The sequence below is a fragment of the Homo sapiens genome, chromosome 14 (genome assembly GCF_000001405.40).
Source record: "Homo sapiens chromosome 14, GRCh38.p14 Primary Assembly".
Classification (NCBI taxonomy): Eukaryota; Metazoa; Chordata; class Mammalia; order Primates; family Hominidae; genus Homo; species Homo sapiens.
Genome location: NC_000014.9, coordinates 94,117,408 through 94,140,283, shown reverse-complemented (window position 1 = coordinate 94,140,283; position 22,876 = coordinate 94,117,408). Strand labels below are relative to the sequence as shown.

The window sequence follows — 22,876 nt, the reverse complement described above, 5'->3', positions numbered from 1 at the left end:
ATGTTCCTGGCCATAGGCCTCTGCTTCCCTAGTTGTTCAGCAGAGGAGCCAGGTGTTCAGACCCTCAGCTGCACCCCTCCACCCTGGACATTCTCAGATTCACCAGAGCTAACGCTGTCGCTCATTAACTGGACCGCATTTCATTCTTCTTTTCATACCCAAGACCCGAAACCCCGAGCACGTTAGTCCTTTGTCAAATGCCGGCAAGCTTAAACACAGATGAAAGCACGTGTCCTTGCTGACTCAATGTCCCTGCTATCTTGAATTCTCCAGGTGCCCTTGGCACAGCCCACAGTTCACCGACAAGTTCATCATCTCCAACTTTGTAGACCTTCTGGCAGATTGCAGCAGCCTCTATTATTTCAATGTATAATTTATATGGCCCATTTTCACTGCCAAGGACAGCCTACAAAGCACACTTGATCCTGCACAAGAAAACAGCGAGTTTTGCCCTCTGGGATGTGTGTGCTTTCCACCCACGGACACAAGCAACTTTTCCAAAGTCTTTTGCTTTACTGGGGCACCTCACTAGGGCAGGAACAATGGGACCTCAGAATAATAGGACAGTCACCACAATTTCAAGGCTGCTCTCAGAGGCAGGTATGTGGGTGACATTAAACACATAGGGTGGTTTCCAGCCACCGGAAGGCCATGCTGGCAGGCCGGAGGCCCTTTGCATCTTTGCAGGAGAGCAGCATGACGCCCCAGGCAAGAGGTTCCTAATCTGAAGTGGGGGCTCCATTTCCCTGATGCTGCTTGCTACCCAGGGAAACGCATATATGTCATGGCAACTTTCTAGACTTCAGTCTCCTCTCCCCTCCACTCAGGGCATTAGCTCCCATCCTGATAGCCTTGCTGGATTGTGGCAAGGATCAAGACAAATAAAAAATATATGAGGGTTTTTTTTTTTTTTTTTTTTGAAAATGCTACGTGCTTGCTACATAAAGTTTGGTCCATGGACCAGCAGTGTCAGCATTACTTGAGAGCTTGCTGGCAATGCAGAATCTCAGGCCACACCTCAGACCTAATGGATCCGAATCTGAATTTTAACAAGACCCCACGTGATTTGCATGAGAAGTACTGCAATATGCTAACAGAAATGTGGTATGGGAGAAGAATGTGTGGTCTGGATCCTGGAGCTCTGAGCTCAAATTCAGCTCAGCCACAAAGTCCTTCGTGGCCTTGAGAGGTGACTGGGGCCTCCGTTCCCTCAGTAGGAGAAGTGTCACCCTGCTGCAGTAGGAGAAGGAGAATGTGGAATGGAGAGGAGAGGGGGCAGAGGGCAAAGGGCTGAGCGGCAGGGAGCCCCTTCCCAGTGGTGTGAAGGGAATGGGTCAGAGAAGACAATGGAGAAGATCAGGGAGAGATCAGCGCTTCCCCCGTCAGCCCTGCTCACCCCCACCACAACCCTTCCTCAGTCACCGAAGCTTCTTGGCATGGACCCTCAAGTCAGCTGTGGGCCAAAGGCAGCTGAGAAGTGGAGAGCCCTGCTTGGTTGTCAGATATCCAAAGTGGCACCAGGAGGCCTGGAGGGTCTTCGGCCTGCCCCAGGCTGCAGAGTATCCCCTGTAAACCCAGGACTGAGATCAGTAAGTGGATCGGGGAACCCTGGAGTAGCTCCATCCTCCAAGTTGCAAAGGGACCAGCTGAGGGGATCTTGCAGACTGTCTCAGAGGCATCGTCTGCACATTTAACGAGCAGTATTCTCATTACGCTGGCTTTTCTATTAAGCAAGCTTCTTGATATAACTCGAAGGTGAGGGCACTTGACCTGTGTTTCAAAATTTCCCTGCGATGCTGGGAAATGGACTGCATCATGCTCGACAACACTCCATTCAAGTAATTACCCAGAGAGAGGTATGATAATTGCAAGGAGGTAAGTGCTCCATTTTGTGGGTTTAAAAATACCAACTTTATGAGGCTGTGGTGAGCATTAAATGTGAAAACGTGTGGCCCGCTCTTAGCACAGGTTTGCAATTAGCCTTTTCCCCACAGTCTTGCAGATGAATCGAAAGCTCTGGTCTGGCCCAGAAGCCCCTTCCTTGGCCTCCCCCAGCAGCTGAACTCTAATGGCTCTGCTAATCGATGTTTCAAATCCACGGTGATGGAGCCATGAGCCCTAATCCTAAAAGCTGGACTCAGGGCTGGGGATGTTCTTTCCAGAAAAATCTCTTCTATTGTTTTCAAGAAACACAAGCAGCTTGGCCCTACGTGCTTTCCTAGCTGCACACAATCCCTTGAGGAAATCAAGTTAAAGGAGTCCTTTCTGACGGTAGTTTTAAATGCTCCCATGTGTGCGTTCAAAACCTAGAGAACAGGCCGGTACAGTGGCTCACGCCTGTAATCCCAGCACTTTGGGAAGCCGAGGCGGGCAGATCATGAGGTTAGGAGTTTGAGACCAGCCTGGCCAACATAGTGAAACCCCGTCTCTACTTAAAAAAAAAAAATACAAAAATTAGCCGGGCGTGGTGACGCATGCCTGTAATCCCAGCTACTTGGAAGGCTAAGGCAGGAGAATTGCTTGAACCCGAGAGACGGAGGTTGCAGTGAGCTGAGATGGTACCACTGCATTCCAGCCCAGGTGACAGTGCAAGACTCCGTCAAAAAAAAAAAAAAAGAAAGAAAACCTAGATATACAAATAAACATGTGAAACAAACTGCAGGAGGACCTAACTGAGTGAAGACTGAGAGGAGGATCCCCCCAGAAATATATCCCTTGGGAAAGAGTCCCTTCCTACTTGGGCAGTTGCAAAGTATTTCATTTTCTGGGAGGGGGGGGCTCTCAATTTTTTGGTAACAGAGGACTGTGAGACTCCCTCAATCTGTGCTGGTTTCAGATGCACTTTGGGATCACCTGGCAGAACTGGGAGGAGGGAGTTTCGTCATTATTTGTGGGAGTGTAGCCTCACTGTGCCAGGGCCGGACAGCAGGTAACACGACTTAACGATGACTTTTAAAGCATCACGATGAGGGCTTACACGGCGACATCACAAACACTTGAACAGAAGCTATTCTAATCTGCGTAAATAAGGCTTTGGGGCTTGGGATTAATTTTCCAGTGACGGCATCTTCTATAGATTCCAAAAGTGGGAAAATGGGGCATGATGGAATATTGTGGGTCACCTTACACCCAGCATCTACGGTATTTCACACAATTCTCATGGAAAGGCTCATGATGCAGGCTTCAGTAACTCGGCTTTGGGTCTCAACAGTGCTTGATGTGTAGAAACTGTAAATAAGTATTTGCATTTTGAACAGCCCTTTCAGTTTGAGGTTCAGGACAAGCCTGCTCCAGTCCTGAAAACTAAGCTCCAGCCCAGCCAACCCAGGCGCTGTGGGTGCGTTATCCAGCCCGCTAGCAACTGCGCTTGCAGTTTGAGATATCGCCACGAGAGGGCACTCCAAAGCAAGAAGCGCATTCTCTCAAACTCCAGTCCTCAGATTGCAACTCAGCTGCCGCGGGCCCAGCTAGGTTGGCTATAGGAAGTCCGCAAGGCTGGCAGAGACAGAGAGGACAGGGACCCACGATCCCAGAACTCTTGGCCTGCTGCCCAGGCCCTGCCACAGCTCATGAAGGATGGCACATCCCAGGCAAACCCAGTCACTGTATTTTAAGCTGGAAGTTTGGCTCAGAACCCCAGTGGAATTTTCAGAGGGGTACAGGGAGACTTGGCTAGAGGCCAGCCTAAGGACTACATTAAATGCAGGCAAAATGGGGAGAAACTCTAAAAGCTCTCTGCACCATAAACATTAACAGGGTTAGTGTTAGGAAACCAGGGGCTTTGATTTTTTTAACTTTGCATATTTATGTTTTCTAAATATTCTAATGAACACGTATTGTGTGTATAATTCCCTTGCTAATGTATCTTTTTGGTTATTTTCAGTTAGGGGCTTTTATGAACAAAGCTGTTTTGAACATTGTGTACAAGTCTTTGTGTGGACATGTTTTCATTGCTCTTGTGTAAATGCCAAGCAGGGGAATTAATGGATAGGAATATCTTTAACTTTATAAAACAGCCAAGGGTTTTCCAAAGTGGTAGTACCATTTTAAACTCCCAACAGGAATATGTGATAGTTGCTCCATATCCTTGTCAACACTTGGTGAAGTGAGCCTTTTAAATTTTAGCCATTCTAGCGGGCGCGAAGTGGTGCTCCATGGTGGCATCATTTTACATTTCCCAAATGACGAAAGATGTTGAGAGTCTTTTTTGTGTGGTTACTGTCTACTCATGTATTTTGCTTTGTGAAGCATTTGCTCAAACCTTTTGCCCCTTTTTAAATTGAGTGAGTTTGTCTTTTTCAAATTGTGCTATAGGCATTTTTTACGAATCCTTTATCAAATATATGCATGGTATGAAGTAAAGTTGGAGGTTGATTGTTTTCCATTTGGATTATATAATTTTCTGTGTGTACTATAACAAATTACCATAAACTTGGTAGTTTAAAACAACAAATCTATTGTCTCACAGTTCCGGAGACCGGAAGTCTGAAATCAGTATCACTGGACCACATTTAAGGTGTCAGCAGGGTTGTGCTGCCTCTGGAGGCTCTAGAGAAGAATCTGTTTCCTGCCTCTTCTAGCATCTGGTGGCTGCCAGCAATCCTTGGCTTGTGGCTGCACCGGCCCACGTGGTCACATCATCTTCTTCTCTTCTATGTATCAGATATTCCTCTGCTTCCTTCTTATAATGATACTTGTGATTGAATTTAGGTTCCATACAGATAATCCAGGATATCTCACAGTCTCAAGATCCTTAACTTAATCACATCCACAAAGACACTTTGCAGGTAATGATATGGTTTGGCTGTGTCCCCACCCAAATCTCATCTTGAAAAGTAGCTCCCATGATCCCCACACGTCATGGGAGGGACACAGCAGGAGGTAATTGAATCATGGGGGGGATGTTTTCCCATGCTGTTCTTGTGATCATGAATAAGTCTCATGAGATCTGATGATTTTATAAAGGGCGGTTCCCCTTCACATGCTCTCTTGACTGCCACCATGTAAGACATGCTTTTGCTCCTCCTTCACCTTCTGCCATGATTGTGAGGCCTCCCCAGCCATGTGGAACTGTGAGTCCATTAAACCTCTTTTTCTTTATAAATCACCCAGTCTCGGGTATGACTTTATTAGCATGGTAAAAACAGACTAATACAGGTAACATTCACAGGTTCCAGGGATTAGGACCTGATATCTTTGGGCTAATTATTTAGCCTGCCACATGGATCTTCAGTAATTCCAGGATCAATTGAAACAATTACCATCCCTATTGAATTACCTTAGTACCTTTGTTGAAACTCAGTTGACCATATATGTTTAGGTTTACTTATGGGATTTCTATTCTGTCCCATCTATCTCTCTGCCTATCCTCACACCAACATCACACTGTCTTAATTATGTAGCTTTATACTGTCTTGAAATTAAGTACTCCGGTGTTAATCTTCCAACTTTATCTTTTCATTAAAAAAAAACAAAAAAGCGTATTCTATGTCGTTTGCATTTCCGTATATATTTTAGAAACATCATGTCAATTTCACACAAAAAATTAAACCCTGCTGGAATTTCTATTGGGATTGCTTTGAATCTACAGACCAGTTTGTGATGTATTAACAACTTAATACATCTTAAAATTCAGTCTCCCAATCCATGAATGTAATTTATCTTTTTTTTAGGTCCACTTGAATTTCTCTCAGCAATATTTGTAGTTTCAATCTATATGTGCTGCATGTGTTTTCATAATTTATTCCTAAATATTTCAGTTTGGATGCTATTGTGTCATTTGAAAACAGTTGGATGCTATTGATGTTTCGTTTTGTGTGGCTGATATTTATAAATGCAATTGGTATTTGCAATATTGTTAAATTCACTTAGGTCTAGCAGTTGTTTGTAGATTCCTTAGTACTTTCTACATAAACAACAATGTTGTACATTAATAAAGAAAGTTTTACATCTTTCTTTCCAATTTTGATACCTTTCTTATTTTTTTCTTCTTTCTTCCCTTCTTCATTACACTGGTTAAGGCTTCTATCATGATATTAAATCGAAGTGGTGAAAGTGGATGTCCTTGCCTGCTTCCAATCTGAAGTAGAATGCATTCAATACAGCAGCACTAAGCATGATATTTGTTGCTTTTTTCTATAGAAAACTTTAGAAGGTTGAGGAAGTTCCCTTTATTCCTAAATTGCTCAGAATTTTTAATCAAAGCATGTATTGATATGCACTACAATATTTTCCCCTTATTCTGTATATGGAGTAAATTAATTGATTTTCAAATGTTGAACTCACCTTATATTAACCTCATGAGGTCATGATATAAGTCTCTTTTATATATTTATAGATTTGATTTGCTAGTATTTTGTTCAGGATATTTGCATGTATGTTTGTAAGGGATATTTTTCTGTAGTTCTTTTTTAATGCCTTTGTCAGGTTTTGGTATCAAGGTGACATTGATATATTCGGAATATGAATTCTTTGTCAGTTATGTGTATGGCAAGTATTTTCTCCCACTATGTGGCACGAATTTTTATTCTTGTCATGGTGCCTTTTGTTAAACAGAGATTCTTAATTTTATTGTGCTCAGATAATTAATAATGTTTTCCTTTAGGTTTAAGTGCTTTTTTTGCGTTTGCTTGAGGCTTACAGTCTTTATTTGCATATTCCAGGAAGTCAGAAAAGGTCCAGTTGACACTACTCAGGGTGTGGTAGAAGGCAGCTGGTGGCCGGGCTCGGTGGCTCATGCCTATAATCCCAGCATTTTGGGAAGCCAAGGTGGGCAGATCACTTGAGGTTAGGAGTTTGAGACCAGCCTGGCCAACATGGTAAAACCTCGTCTCTACTAAAAATACAAAAATTAGCTGGGCATGGTGGCACACGCCTGTAATCCCAGCTACTCAGGAGGCTAAGGCAGGAGAATTACTTGAACCCGGGAGGCAGAGGTTGCAGTGAGCCAAGATAATGCCACTGCACTCCACTCTGGGCAACAGAGTAAGACTCTGTCCCCTCCAAAGAAAAAAAGAAAAAGAAAAAGAAAAAAAGGCAGCTGGTACACACTGAAATTTTGGGTTATCCTTGAAAGCAGCTTTGATAAACACTGAAGGCTATTTGGGTTTTTAGATTAATATTCAATTTATTGAAATAAATTAAAAATCTAGTAATCCTTAAGTTCTTAGCTTTAATTAAAATCCTAATATTCTATTTATACATCTAAGGGGACTTTTACAATTTAGTTGAGCAAATTCTCCAAAGTATTTAAGGTTACATGTATATTAACATAATCTAGTTTCCTTTTGTGTGTGCATGTGTGTGTGTGTGTGTGTATAAATATATAAACATTGTCAATTTTCTTTTTAAACACTGCATATGTCTCTAACAAGCAAAGACTTCCCATGAACACAGATGAATTTTATACATTTAATAAAATAAACATAATTTTGAGTGTTAAGTTTTCTTAAACAATATTTGTTAACAAAATTGTTTTTAAAGTAGAATACCTTTCAACTTTATAATCATAAGATTAAGTCTCTTATGGAAGTACATCATTAAAATTGGAATTATAAGTAATCTGCCCCATACGCCAAGTTCTTATACACACGTTAAATACTCAATATGCACAAATTAGTCCTAAAACTAATGCCAAAAATGTTAATGCCATTGGTTTTGTTTATTTTGTTTTATTTTCTCCATAAGTAATTATAAACACTTCTAGGTTTTTAACAAAGGCAGTAGTTTTTAGCAGGCAGTAGTTTTTAACTATTAATACTAAGGCAGCAGGCTAAGGCAGTAGTTTTTAACAGGATGGTACTGCCCCCTAGGGGGCATTTTGGAAATTTGATGGTGTGCTTTTATTAGTCAGCAATTGGCGAGAGGATGCTTGTATTTAGCTCTTGAATGGGAACGAAGGCCTGACAAATGAAATAGGTAAGACAATCCTGCACAGCTAAAAGTTACCCTGTATAAATGTCAAAGATCTCTTCATACAAGCAAAAAGCTCATAATTATTTAGGCCTAGAACTTAAACATGTTTTACGTGTTTTTGGCATAGTTTTAATACAGATTGAATTTTTAGGAATTTTGTTATCTTGTAAATCAGGGAGAAATCGTACTTTGATTTGTTCTGAACTTTACCAAGAGTTATTCACCATTTCGGAAAATCATGTCACCGGCAGCAATGTACTTCAGCCTGTATTTGCAGCTCCCTCATTCAGGGTGATTAGATGTAGATATATGTATACAAATATATAGATATGTTTCTTAGGTCCTTGTTTTGAAACATCAAATATAAAAAAGTAAGCATTGGCCGGGCACGGTGGCTCACGCCTGTAATCCCAGCACTTTGGGAGGCTGAGGAGGGCGGATGATGAGGTCAGGAGTTCGAAACCAGCCTGGCCAACATGGTGAAACTCCGTCTCTACTAAAAATACAAAAATTAGCTGGGCATGGTGACGTGCACCTGTAATCCCAGCTACTCGGGAGGCTGAGGCAGGAGAATCGCTTGAACCTGGGAGGCGGAGGTTACAGTGAGCCGAGATCGCGCCACTGCACTTCAGCCTGGGCGACAGAGCAAGACTCCATCTCAAGAAAAAAAAAATTAAGAATTTACCATTGAATATTGTATCATCTTAAATCCAAACTTATATGGTTGCAAACAACTCATTCTTTCATTATACCTTTTGGTGTAATAGTGCTTGAGCATGTACATACTGAAATATACACTATTTTATTACAAGTAATTTTCTTGTATTTCTCTTTTGTTTGGGCAATACCTTGTGTGTAACTATAATAGAGGATGTTATCTATGAATTTCATTTCAGGATAGTAGAGAGCATTACAAAGTGTTTTTAATCTTCACAAAAAATGTGTAGCCCTGGATTAACAATACTGCTATGCACAGTCAGATTTTAAATCAGATAATAAATTTATAAGATTGAAACAGTGTGATATTGTTGCCAGAAGAGATAGCTTTTTGGAACAGAACAGAAAATATCCAAACAGATATACTGGTATATATACCAGCTAATGAGTTTTGAATATAAAGATGGAATATCAAATCGAAGGTGAAATGTAAGATGATTTAATAATGGTAGTGGAACAACTGGCTAAGACATATATGGATACAGAAAACACTATATGTACCAATCTAAATTCCAGACGGATTAAAGTAAATCTTAAGTAGCAAACCCCAGAAGAATCTAAAGAAAATACAAGTGACAGTGTATTGAATAGCTAGTAGAAATGGCCTTTTCTAAAGACAAAAATAATAAAGTAAAATATTGGTAAGTTTGCATAAATATTAAACACTTTTCTATTAAAAAAAAAACACCAAAAAGGCAGGAATGAAGTGTAAATAAAAATTTGCAACATCTATGAGAATGGATGAAGATAATTAATATATCATTAATTCCTATATACCAATAAGGAAAAAAATACTTCAGTAGAACAAGGATCCAAGAATATGAGAAGATAACTCACAAAATAAGGAGTACATGAAGCTAATACACTTAAAAATAGTTTAGTCTCACTAGTGGTGAAGAGAAAAGTATATTAAAATAAGTCACCTATTAAATCAACAAAGGGTTTTTGTGTTATTGTTTCTTAACGACAAAGCTAATTGTTAGTGAGGAGTAGAAAAAAAATAGATTCTCTCACATACTGCTGGGAAAATGTAAACTGATGACAATAGTTTTGGATGCCAACATAACAACACAGGTATCAGGTGCTGTAAAAAATGCACAGTTTCTGACCCAGCAGTTCCACCTCCAGGAATATACAGAAAACACTTGTGCCCCATAATGTTAGCACTTCATGCTAAAATAACTTATCAGAGCAAAAATTAGACTTTAAACACTTAAAAGGGAGGGCTGATACGTTGAACCCAAGGGGATGGAATATTTAATGACAAATATCATATTGAAGTTCTGGAAAAGGCAAATGGGCGGGGATGGTTGCCAGGAGCAGGGCGTGGGTGACTCCAAAAGCGCATGAGAGGATTGATGGAGGAGGGGGCGGGGCATGTAAAAAAAAAACGGTCTGAATCAGAGCCGTCAAAGCCTCCCAGACTCACAGAAGTGTACACTACAAGGGTGAATTTTACTTTGTGTAAATCACCTACACCTTAATAAACTTGACTTTTTAAAAATCTTGATGAAGGATATTAAGCAGCCTGGGGAAATCTAAATGGTTGATTAACTAAAGTAAGTAATTTGCAAGGCAGAGTGTGAAGGGAAATTGGCAAGTGGTGGAGGGGGTGTTTACATATTCAGGGGAGACATAGGCTGGGAGCAAACGTGCCAGAATGTATTTATATTAGTGTCTCTCTGGAAGTTAAACATCGTTTATTAAATTAAACATCATTTTTCTCCTTGCATTTTGTTTGTTTCTTTGTTATTGTTGTGTTGTTTTTGGTTTTGGTTTTTGCAGCAAACAGCTCTTCTGTTATTGGCGGGGTTGGAGTGGGGGGCGGTGCTACAGCAATTTGGAAGCGGGGCTCACTTGCTATGGCTTCCAGGTTCTTTCCAGCGCTTTTCTCTTCGGTAGATCCATCAAGCCGGGACAGGCGAGCCGGGGAGTCGCGAAGGCTCCCGGGCGAGCGGGGTGGGGCGGGGGGCGGGGCCTGCGTCTCTCTAGGGCAGAGTAGGCGCGTCCCTACTGGATGGAGGGGGAAGTAACACCCCAAGAACGCTGTCATTTCCTGGGCCAAGTTGGGACCCGGACGGCCTCACCATGATGAGTGAGTCTTGCTTCCCCAGGGGGCTGGCGGGCTGGGCTGGGGGCAGGCTTCCCCAACCCCAGCCCAGGAAGGGACAGGGAATAGCTTCATTCCCTGACTTCATCAACCAGCTGACCTACTGACTCCCTCTCCCTCCCTTCCTCCCTCCCCTTCCCTTCCTCCCTCCGCTCCTTGCTTCCCTCCCCCTCCCTCCCTTTCTGCCCTTCTCTCTCCTCTTTCTCCCCTTTCCCATCTCCCTCTGCCTTCCCCTGGCACTCTCTCTCTAGAACGGGCAGCTGCTGCTGCAGTGGGAGGAGGTAAGTTACCCGGATCGCCTGTCTCCAGGCCCTCACCTAGCCTGGTCCCCGGGCTGCTGGGAGAACGCAGAGATGAGGCGCTGGGCTGGCTCTCACCCTCCACTTCCGAAGCTGCCCGAGTAGCCTGAGTGAGCCACAGCATCAAAATACTCCAGGGAAAAGCTCACTCCCATTCCTGACCCAGCTTCTCTTCTAGTCCTTATGTCGAATAAGCATAGGAGGAAGATCGTTTGAAAGAGGATTTGCAGCTAAACTCCACGTGGCTTATTTCACATTTATGCGTGGACACACACACACACACACACACACACACACAAATTTGAGACCAATGAAGGGTATTGACTTCCTCAGCATCACACAGCAAGTTAGAGACAAACCAGGGCCATGGCTGGTCCTTCTATGACATCTTTGCTTCACCTGGCTCCACACTCCACCTTTTCTTCACCAGAAGACCACTAAGTTGCCATCTCTGTATTGCTCAAGCTGACAGTCTCCGGAAACTGTCAAGGAATTCCTAAGCGGGGGGCGGGGGGAAGGGTCCCTTCTCCTGAGCCCACCTCTGCACTCAGCTTCTCTCTCCCCACAGCCCTGGCAGTGGGGGCTGTGCCCGTGGTGCTCAGTGCCATGGGCTTCACTGGGGCAGGAATCGCCGCGTCCTCCATAGCAGCCAAGATGATGTCCGCAGCAGCCATTGCCAACGGGGGTGGTGTTTCTGCGGGGAGCCTGGTGGCTACTCTGCAGTCCGTGGGTAAGTGTCCTAGACAGGACCACCAGAGCTGCGAGAAGATCCAGCCCTGAGGCTGAGCCCGAGGGAAGCTCTTCTCACCCTGAAGTTCCGTGACCCTCAGCTTCCTGGGTCTTCAGTCTCTCCCTCACTGTCCCCTCTTCTGGCTCCTTCTGAGTGAGGTTTGGGGTAGGAGTGGAGGGGTGATGGGGTGCTGGGTAGGGAGAAGAGGAAAGGAACCTAGGCCAAGAGCAATGCCTGGGTTCTGACACCTGGGTGACCTGGGCAAGGTCCCCTGTCCTCTCTGGGCCTCAGTGGCCTCCTGTGTAAAGTGAGGGGCTCTGTAGCTCTTAGGGTCTGTCTGTGGATGACTCTCCCTCTGTCTCTCAGTTTCCGTGAATTCACCCCTGAGCTGTCTTTTAGTTGCCTCTAGCAGCTTCTACCCATGGCAGAGCCCTGGGATTTTCAGGACCTGGAGGAGGGATCCGGGTGGGATTTCTGGGCCACTGCCCGACCCCTGTGCTCATTCTCTGTCTCCTCCACAGGGGCAGCTGGACTCTCCACATCATCCAACATCCTCCTGGCCTCTGTTGGGTCAGTGTTGGGGGCCTGCTTGGGGAATTCACCTTCTTCTTCTCTCCCAGCTGAACCCGAGGCTAAAGAAGATGAGGCAAGAGAAAATGTACCCCAAGGTGAACCTCCAAAACCCCCACTCAAGTCAGAGAAACATGAGGAATAAAGGTCACATGCAGATGCATCTCCCTGTTTTGCTTCTTGCAGCTCTGGTTGGTGTTCTGAGCTGGAGGTTTCCAGTTCTCCCTCTCTCCTAGACTGCCCTGTCATGGAGGGGCAGAGGGAGGTGGTTGGCCACGCAGATAATCGGTAGGCAGAAGGCTTTGATTGGTCTCAGCCTTACGGAGATGGGCCGTGTGACCCAGGGCCATTCGTGGGCCTTTTCTGGGCCTCAGTTTCCCCCTTATTCAATGTTGGCATTGTCACAGGCTCCTGTTGGGAGGCAGGGGTGAGGGGTAGCCAGGGCACTTCAGGAACCACTGACTGTAGAGCCCTCTGTTCTTCATTAATGGCACTAGATACCCAGAATGAGCAGGACACCATCCTTCCCTTGCCTAACCTCAAAGTCTTGTCAGAAGGCCGATAAGCAAGCCAGCAGGAAAAGACAATGTGTCCAGTGTTACATGCAGGCTCTAGGCACTTTGAGGGGAGGAGGCTGAGTCAGGAATGGTCACCAAAATGTGGCTGGAAAATTGAAGGAGAGGCTGAGTTCATGCGTGAAGACCTGGAACCCTGACCACACCCTCACTGTGTGAGGCTGTTTGGGGTAGCAATAAAGGAATACCTGAAGCTGGGTCATTTATAAAGAAAAGAGGTCTATTGGGCCCACAGTTCTGCAGACTGTACAAGAAGCATGGTGCCGGCATTTACTTCTGGTGAAAGCCTCAGGAAGCTTACAATTGCACAAGGGGAAGGAGGAGCAGGTGTGTCAAGTGGCAAGAGAGGGAGCAAGAGAGATGCCAGGCTCTTTTAAGTAGCCAGCTCTCTTGTGAACGAATAGAGTGAAAACACTCCTTACTGTGGGGAGGACACGGAGTCATTCATGAGGGATCCGCCCCCATGACCCAAACACCTGCCCCTAGGCCCCACTTCCAACACTGGGGAATCACATTTTAACATGAGACTTGGAGGGTACAAACATCCAAACTATATCAGTCACCTAACGACTCCAGTCTTTGTTCATGTGACGGGTGCTACAGTGGATGGGAGGGGTCCACACAGACCCCCAGGAGACTATGATGTCAGGAGAAACTGGGCACTTACCCAAACAAAAGTGACACAGAGCATTATGTTCAGTGCAGTAATGGACTCCAGCCACAAGCAGGGAGCACAGAGGAGGCAGAGATATATTCTCACATCTGGGGAGGCTTCCTGGAAGAGGAGGCAAAAGGCTTGGGCCTTGAAAGGCGAATGGAAGTCTGACAGAGGAGGAGGCAGGCAAAGGGAAAGGTGTCCCAGGAGGAAGGAAGTCCCAGCTGCTCAGTGAGAGAACTGGAGAGGGAGATGTAACTAGGCATTTCCATGGCAGTGTGGGTGGAAGGCAATACCTCCGAGAAGCCAGCGAGAGGAAGGGGACCTCTAGGCAGCCATGGAGAGCAACAGAGGCAGGAGGGAAGTCCCAAGTGTGGAGGTTTTACAGGGAGGCAAGTCTGCTCTGGATGACCCCCAGCTGTCCTTCTGCCCCCATACATTTTAGATTCCTTATGCTGAGGCACATGCATGTCTGCTGCTCCTGAAACTCCCCTGTATTTTGTGGGACAGAGACCTAGGCTCTGAGCCACTCAGAGGACAGCGGCAGCCCAGGCCCCACAAGGGGAGCACCCTGGTCTCCATCTTCCTCCCAAGGACTGCCTGCACAGCTGAACCCAGGAAAGAGAGGCCAAGTGTCCAGGACAAAACCTGAGCCCTTTTCCCCAAGGGCTCAGGTATGAAGGGGTGACAGAGAAGGCTGCCTCTCCTCTCCTCCAAGGTAGCAGCATCAACTACACAGAGAACAGAGCAGAAGGGGCATCTGTCTACTTCTGCCTCGTCTGGAGGTCTCAGCATCTTGCTCCTTCCTGCCATGTTCCTGGCCCCTCAGAAGCCGTCACCACTGAGGGCTGCTGCCCATAACCCATGAGACAGCTCCAGCCTCCCTGTCTGGAGACCCAGATATGGCAGGGACTGAACCTTTTCCCTTCATTCTCCTAACCCTTGGCTCCCACCACCATTAGGCCAGGCTGTGTGATGAATGTAATCATGTGAGAATAACAGAGGCCCTCCTTAGATGAGATGGTCAAAGAAGGCCTCTGAAACAGAGACGCTTTGCCTAAGACCTAAAGGACAGGAGAGAATTTCTTAGCTTCAGCCTCTGGAAAACTGAAAAATAATAAATAATTTAAAAATAAAATAATTTTTTTTAAAAAAAGAGAAATAACATGGGATGGGAGATGACTACATTTGTAAGTTAGACTTTTTTTGATTCCCCTGTTCCCCAAGGAGGAACTTCGTGGGTATTCACAGCTCCTACCCTGGTGACAGGCATTTTTGGGTGTCCCCTGATGCTCCATTCACTGCTAGGGTGAAGTCTCACTTCCTGCCAGAGAAGCCTCATTCCCTGGAGGTGTTTCAAAGAATGAGGTATAAGTAGAAATACAAGTTCTAAAATTTCCGCCCACACTCTAACAGATGGTCTTAAGGCAGCCTTCTGGGTGCACACAAGGCATCTTATAGACCACTTGGTAACCTATCAAGAAGGAAGAGCTGGCCAGGTACAGTGGTTCATACCTGTAATCCCAGAAGTTTGGGCGGCCAAGGAGGGTGGATCACTTGAGTCCAGGAGTTCCGGCCTGGGCAACATGGCAAAATTCCATCTATACAAAATATACAGAAATTAGTCGGGTGCATTGGCACATGCCTGGGTCCCAGCTACTTGGGAGGCTGAGATGGGAGGATCTCTTGAGCCAGGGAGGTGGAGGTTGCCATGAGCCGAGATTGCACACTGCACTCCAGCTTGGGCAACAGAGCAAGACCCTTTCTCAAAAAAAAAAAAAAAAAAAAAAAAAGGCCAGTCTCCAAAATCATTACTTTCCTTGAACTCCTAGGACAGCTGAGGTTGCAGGGGCACCAGATGGCCTGAACGCAGGACAGTCAGGTGCCTCCAGGGAGAGACAGGACTCTGGATCACTGAGCCCCCTGGGGTCCATTGCACAAGCGAGTAAGGAATCAGCTAAAAGTCTTAAGTGATTGCTAAAGGCCAACTAAGACTCACGTGAGTGCATAGAACCTTCAGAAGCCACAGAGACAACATGGATCCTACCAACATGCAGACCTTTTTCCCTGCGGACTGGGTCCCTGCAGGGTCCTGAAGAAAGCTTCCCTGGAAGGGGCAAGACTGGAGGAAGGGAGCAAGAAGGGCATCAAATACCCCCCACCTTCCTTCTCTTCTAGAAGGGCACAAAAACCTTAAGCTGCGGGGGAAAGACAGCCGACCCTGTAGCTTCCAAAGCTCATGCAAAGACAATTGCAGAAGGAGAAGAAAAAGTAAAACCCTCCGCCCTTGGGGAAGAGCAAGAAACCATCCTGAGCCCAGACCTGGAGACCTGCTACCCTTAGGAGAGGGGCAGGGATCTTGAGAAAATGCCACCCCTAAGCCCCAAACACACAGGGCCTGCCTAGACTGAGGCTGGATGAGGATCATAGAGAATCCAACTTCTCCCATCCAACCAGGCTAGCAAATAACAAGCAAACAGATGTCTACCACTGGGGATGGGGCAGATGTGCAGAGACCATATCCAAGGCTCAGGCACAGTGCAGAAGCTTAAAGACACTGAGCAAACTCCTCTGCAAGCCAGCCTCCACCCTAAGCACAGGGTAACACTGATCTGAAGCCAGTGGCACATGCACAGCAACCACATTGTCTTAGTCTGTGCCACTGTAAGAGAAAACCACAGACTGGTTAATTTATAACTAATAGAAATGTATTGGCTCACAGTTCTGGAAGCTGGGATGTGCAATATCAAGGTACCAGTATGTTTGGGGGCCTTCTTGCTGCATCAGCACATGATGGAAAGCGGGAAGATGAGAAAGAGAAAAAGAGAGCCAAACTCACCCTTCTATAATGGCATTAATCTCACGTGGGTGGAGCCCTTGTGGCTTACCTCTTAAAGGCCCTCTTTCTTAACACTGTTACAATGGCAATTAAATATCGGCATGAGTTGGGACAAACATTCAAACCATAGCATAGGGCAACTACAAAACCCAAGTCCAGCTCGACTCCTGCTTGGATTGACTCAATCCCCAGGGAAAGGCCTAGCCAGAAGAAAAGACATACACATTTCCCAGCATGAATATCATTTGTCCTGTCTGTACTGTTGCCCCTACCCGCTACACTCTCTCTTCTAGTCCCTGCCTACTGCTCCCTACATCCAGCACCTTTGACCCCCCGCCCCAGGGTCCCACCCATGAGGCCCGCAAGACAGGCTGAAAGTGTCCACGCGTTGATCCAGAATAGACCTCAGCCAATGATGGATGGGAGTCGGGCGATTAACTCCCTACAGGTGGGACAACTCTTGCCTGTTCCACATTGTCTCCAGTGGTCCCCAGCGGGACTGAGCCTCAGTAGCCTGCATTGCAAAGTCACTCATTAATCGACCCTTTCTGGGCTGCTGTCCCTTCTATTGCTTGCCTCCCCATTCCCCTGTTGGTGTTTCCTGGGATCACCTCCCAAATAAGCCACTTGCACTTACATCCTTGTGTATTAGTCTGTTCTCACGCTGCTAATAAAGACATACCCAAGACTGGGTAATTTATTTAAAAAAAAAGGAGGTCTTAATGGACTCACAGTTGCACATGGCTGGGGAGGCCTCACAATCATGGCAGAAGGCTAAGGAGGAGCAAAGGTACATCTTACATGGCAGCAGGCAAGAGAGCGTGTGCAGGGGAACTGCCTTTTATAAAACCATCTGATCTCGTGAGACTTATTCACTATCATGAGAACAGCACAGCACAGCCCCCATGATTTGGTTACCTCCCACTGGGTTCCTCCTACAACACATGGGGATTATGGGAGCTACAATTCAAGATGAGGTTTGGGTGGGGACACAGCCAAAACATAACATCTCATCTTGGTGTCTCAGCTAAGGCTGCTTCCCACTCTCTTCTCTGTCCCCACTCAGGAGCCCATAGGCCTGAGCCTAAGATAGCCACAGCACTCTATCGTATTGCTCCTGAAATCTGGCTGTGTTCAGGTCTTATCCATCTCCTTCCCTTGGGATAAAGCTCAGACAGGTGGCTTTGCCATCTCTGTGCAATGATTCACCCGCTCAGCACCACAGGTAGCCCCTGACCTGTCCGAATCTTAGAAGAGGATACAGCTCAACTTTGGGGCTGTTCCCCAGCTGGGCTACCCTGGGCAGTGCCATGTGCCAAGGCATGGGGCAATGGGGTAAACCACTCAAACCAGTGATTGATCCCTAGGTCTTTGCAATTTGTCAAGGGAAAGCCTGGCTCAATTTCAATTTTAAATGTTTCTTCTCAGTTATCTTTTCCACTAGTAAATCCCTGTTACCAAAGACACTCAAGAGAGTTTGGCTGAGGCTGGTCCCAAAATGGTTAAAATTATTGAACTGCTCTGCCCCCACTCCCACCCCGGACCTCTTCATCAATCTGAAATTGTTTGATTCACTGTAAAAGTAAATTTACCTCCCTGAGTGCAGGCTGGTTGCTCAAGGAGGCAGCTGGAGAGAGTTAGTGGGCAGGCAACCAGATTCAGGCTGCAGATCTACTGGGAATAACCTGCAAAGTTGATCATTTTCAGCCACGGAAAGATGCCCATCTTTAATAGCAGCAGGAGTGGGGTTCTCTGGATCAACTTCTTACAAGTTCTTCTAACAACATCTATAAAATAGGACCAGGAGCGTCACCTTTCTTGGAATGGTGTGAGGATTTTATGTAATGAGACATGAGCAGTGACTTGACCATGGTGTGTGTATGTAAGTGTTATTTGTTTTGATCTTCTTGTTGATCTTCTTGTTCCAGCACTTTTAGGACCACCCTGTGGCTATTTAGGGTGTCCCATAGGTGACCCAGAGGTTGGTATGGGGACTCAGGAGAACAGAGGGCAGAGTGGCAGGACATAGAAGCTCTTTTCCTCCCTCCCCCAGTCCAGGTGCTTTGGAAGTCACAGCACTCCAGCCATCTCCCACTTGGGCTCATTGCAGTCCTCACAGCTCATAACTCCTTCCTGTGCCCACGGTTTTCCACAAACTCAGAGCAGCCACTCCAGTCTCCCTTGGGTCCCTTGAGTCTCCTGGTGGGTGGGGAAGCCGGTGTTGAAGCTTCACAGCTGTCAGAGGGTGAGTGCTCCTGGATGGGCTGCAGCTGGGGGTGATAGGAGGGAGAGGATCAGAGACATGAGGGGCTCACACCTGCTTCCCCGTCATATCTGAGCCTTTGTAGATATCCAATGGCAGGCTTGGCCACAGGGGCTGTTCTCATCAACCCGAGGACTGTACTGTGATCTGACCCAGGCTTTCAATGGCCAGTTTCTTCCCAGAGTGTCAGAATGTGAGCATTTATTTTCCTGGGCTGGTAACATGCCTGGGAAGAATCTCCCCCTAAACCCACACACACATTTTTTGCTTTTTTTTCCCCTCTCATTTGGCCTCTCATTCTCTCTCACTCTCTCTGGAGAGTGGCTATAAATTCTAGCCCTGTGCTGATGGGGCTCTAGAAATTTGGTCTTGGATGTTTACAATGTAAAAGCACAGGAAACTTCTTTATTCTTTATCCTGGAGGACAGCCTAAGGCCTAAATGTCCAACTCATGACCAGGCAGTCTCGTCACAGGAAACTTGTTTATACTGGCACATGCTTTTGTGGCTCTTGTCTGACTTGTGTCCAGTTTATTCCTACCAAGATAGTCACACTCTAGGAGGGGAGTCAGGTTTATGTGTATTGGTCAGATGAGACTCAGAGGAGGCAACTCAACAAAATGCATGAAATAACAGAAACAGTTTATTGCTTACAGGTCCCAGAGAGAAGAGGGCAGAGTGCCATCCAGGGCCAATGGGAACAGGGCGCCCTCCAGGACACACGTGCTCAAACAGCAGGTGAGAGCGAGAGAGAGGGGGCGAGGGACATGTGGGCTTTTATGAGGGTCCAGGGCATTACCCAAGCAGGTTTCCCTTTGGGGTTCTAACTGGTGGGTTTACAGCATGCAGGCATGACTTCTGTGGAGTCACACTGTGATTGAGAGGTGAATCAAGTAGGTGGTATCTAGGTGTCCCATAAGGAGGTGGTCACCACAAGGCAGTTTATAAGGCAGATATATGGATCGACCATCTTAAGAGACTGGAAGGCAGCAAAGAATTGGAAACTGTGTCAAGGGTGACCAAACCCTACTTCTGGTGTGAGAAAGTCCCAGTTAGATTCAGAATGGAGGCCAAGGCAACATAACAGTGTAAGAGTTCACTGCACTTCCATCCTGAATGTCATAGCCTGCCTGCTAGTGTTCTAGGTGTCTATTGATAAAGAAGATTGAGAGACTTAACACTTAGTATGGAAACTTTCATTTTTAGTGTGAAGCTCCTGCCCTCAGTCCTGTTGGTGGCCCCTAGTCCAGAGACTCAACCTCTCCAAAGATAACTCTCCAGTGGTCTACTGGAGGGGGAATCCTGGGGTTTTCCTGCTTCTTAAGCAGACTTCCAGCCAGCCCTCCTGCTCTCAATCTACCTTCATGCCCACCTCCAAAGCCCATGCTGCTCTAGTGGCTGAGCCTTCAGGGTCCTATAGGGCAAAGCTGACTCTTTCTGCTCTCTTTACTGACAACTTAATGTCCAGCTTTCTTGGGGCTGCTAAGTGGAACCACTTGTCCATGTCATTTCTGGCTGTGGGCCTTTATGGGGGTCCAGGGCGTTACCCAAGCAGGTTTCTTTTGCGGGGTTCAGGCTCCAATTGGTGGGTTTAGAGAAAGCAGGTGTGACTTCTGTGGAGTCATCTCCTTTTTTCTTCTCTTTGTCCTTGTGGGCTTATGCTTTTCTTTGATCCTTGACTGTTATTTTAATGGTGTTTTGAAATGGAACAGAGATGGAAGCAACTCTCTTTATTGGGTTAATTCTTCCATTGCTTGCAATCAAAAGATTCCCTACTGTGTGCAATAGAATGTATGTTTGTTTGCAGTAAGAGACCCTCTTGGCTTACACAAGAGAAGTTTCTTCTCTTTCATCTAGAAATATCAGCCAGGGTGGTGACTCTGCTCTGGGAGACCCAGGCTCCTGCAGTCTTGTTGCTCTGCCTTCTGCAAGGTGTTGTTCTCAGCTATGAGTGTAAGATGCTCACTCTCTCACCTGCAGCAGAGCCCATGGGAAAGGACAAAGGGGCAAAGGTGGGCCCATCCAATCCCTTTAACTGCATACCCAGATGAGTGCGTCTAACTGCAAGAGGGTTTGGGAATGCAGTTCTTCCCTAGGGATCGTGTGCCTAGCCAAAGCCAGGGCTCTCTTGTATCATCCAGAAGGAAAGAACAGGCATTGGGTGACTACTAGCAGCCTCTGCCTCTCTGGTGAAGACACCAGTCTCAACAGGAAGCCATTCTAGATCCCTGCAATGAGAATTCTCTGCATCCCTGTTCAGCCTGCTGAGCCACTGTGTGCCACAGCCCAGTTAGCTGTGGATGTGCCTGGCTTCCCTAACACTGCAGGCCTGAGGGCAGGCAGATTCTTCTGGCATCCCACAGGAGTAGAACCTGGTGTCCCAGGGGCCATCTGGGGCCAGGAGTGTCAGGAATCCTGGGGCTGCCAGAGTCAGTTCAGCCAGCTCCTGGGTGAAAAAGCCTCAGCCCAGTGAAGGGAGACAGGGTATCCAGGCTGCATACATTTTCTACTACTGTGTAACAAACTACCACAAACTTAGTTGGCTTTAAGTGACACCCACTACTATCTTATAGTTCTGCAGGTCAGAAGTTCTGAGTTCTCTGCTTATGGCCCCACAAGGCAGAAATGGAAGGTTTCAGCCAGCCTGGGCTCTCATCTGGAGGCTCTGGTAAGAATTGGCTTCCAAGCTCCTTCAGATTATTCACAGAATTCAGTTATTTGCCATTGTAGGACTAAGGGCCCCATTTTCTTGTGGGCTGGCAGCTGGAGACAGCTTTTAGCACTTAATAGCCACCTGCGTTCCCTGGCTCATGGCATCCCTATCCACAAAGCCAGAGACAGACATCAAATCCCCTGCATGCTTCAAATCTCTGACTTCCTTTTCTGCTGTGAGCAGACAAAACTCTCTGCTTTCAAAGGGTTCATGTAATTGGATCAGAGTCACCTGGATAATTTCTTTTCTTTTTTTTTTTTTTTTTTTTTTTAAGACAGGGTTGCACTCTGTTTGCCCAGGCTGGAGTGCAGTGGCACAATTGTGGCTCACTGCAGCCTCAACCTCCTGGGCTCAAGTGATCCTCCCACCTCTGCCTCCTGAGTAGTTGGGACAACAAGTGTGCACTGCCATGCCTGGCTAAATTTTTGTGTTTTTTTGTAGAGATGAAGTTTCATCATGTTGCCCAGGCTGGTCTCAAACCCCTGGGTTCAAGGAATCCCTCTGGTCTCCCAAAGTGCTGAGATTGCAGGCATGAGCCACCTTGCCCAGCCGATAATCTCCTTTTTGCCATTAATGTAACAAAATCACAGGAGTGATAGCTCAACATGCTCAGAAGTTCCACCAACACCCAGAGAGGAGGGGATTATTCTAGGGAGGTTATTGGGCACCATTCTTAGAATTCTGCCTGCTACAAAGGTCGAAGCTGAGGGTTTAAAGATAAAGAACCACGTGAGAGCCACAAAACCAAGGTGGGGGTGAGAGCCACAGAACCGAGGTGGGGGTGAGGGGCTCAGTGCCAGAATGGAAACAGGTCCTCTGGGAACCGGGAGGCCTCATCTTCATGAGGGGGACGAGGGAGGAGGTCAGGACTCACACCTAGAATAATGGGTGCTCCAGGGTGACCTGCCTTGCAGGACCATTTACTGGGCTTCAGCTGGGATGCAGGCTCGTCCATCGTCCCAGACGCAGGTCAGACCCAAGTGCTTTCCTTTTGGAAGGGCTTGGATTTCTAGTTAATGCGGGGGGTTGTACCTTTCATTCCAATGAGGGTCTTCTGATGTTCTAATGAAAGCCCTGACAATGAGGGTGTTATTTGGGGAATGTGTACATTTTGTGGGGAGAAGTTTCACAGCTTTTTTCAGATTCCCCAAGGCATCAAAGAAAGGGGGAGGTGGGGGAAAAGAATCACGTATTGAAAGAATATCTTGAGAAGCTTAATTCCTATGGCTGGAATTAAGTTGAAATAAACAATTAAGTTGCAATGAAGCAATAAACCATGCTTCGTTGACCCAATTAAGAGACATGGATGAGTTGTTCAAGTTTTTGAAATGTCTGTAGCACTAGACTCACAGTTCTGCTGCTCTTTGCTTCTTTGCTTTCAAAGGGCTCATGTCATTGGATCAGAGCCACCCGGATAATTTCTTTTTTTTTTTTTTTTTTTTTTTTTTACTTTTTGAGACAGGGACTCACTCTGTTTGCAGTGATCACAGAC

General features: G+C 46.2%; 1 protein-coding gene across 1 annotated transcript, besides 1 other annotated feature; it reads left to right on the top strand.

Moving 5' to 3' along the window:
- Positions 929 to 1,428: an enhancer, noted in NCBI's record as "H3K4me1 hESC enhancer chr14:94605193-94605692 (GRCh37/hg19 assembly coordinates)". NCBI's record gives its function as "activates a minimal SCP1, AML or CMV promoter by ChIP-STARR-seq in primed H9 embryonic stem cells {active_cell/tissue: H9 hESC(primed)}" and the evidence as "EXISTENCE:reporter gene assay evidence [ECO:0000049][PMID:30033119]".
- On the top strand, positions 10,680 to 12,503 carry IFI27L2 (interferon alpha inducible protein 27 like 2). The gene is made up of 4 exons (NM_032036.3): positions 10,680 to 10,726; positions 10,993 to 11,022; positions 11,609 to 11,770; positions 12,292 to 12,503. The coding sequence occupies exons 1-4, from the start codon at positions 10,720 to 10,722 to the stop codon at positions 12,483 to 12,485; spliced, it is 393 nt and encodes a 130-aa protein (NP_114425.1). The 5' UTR covers positions 10,680 to 10,719; the 3' UTR covers positions 12,486 to 12,503.
- Positions 12,504 to 22,876: the final 10,373 nt, after the last annotated feature.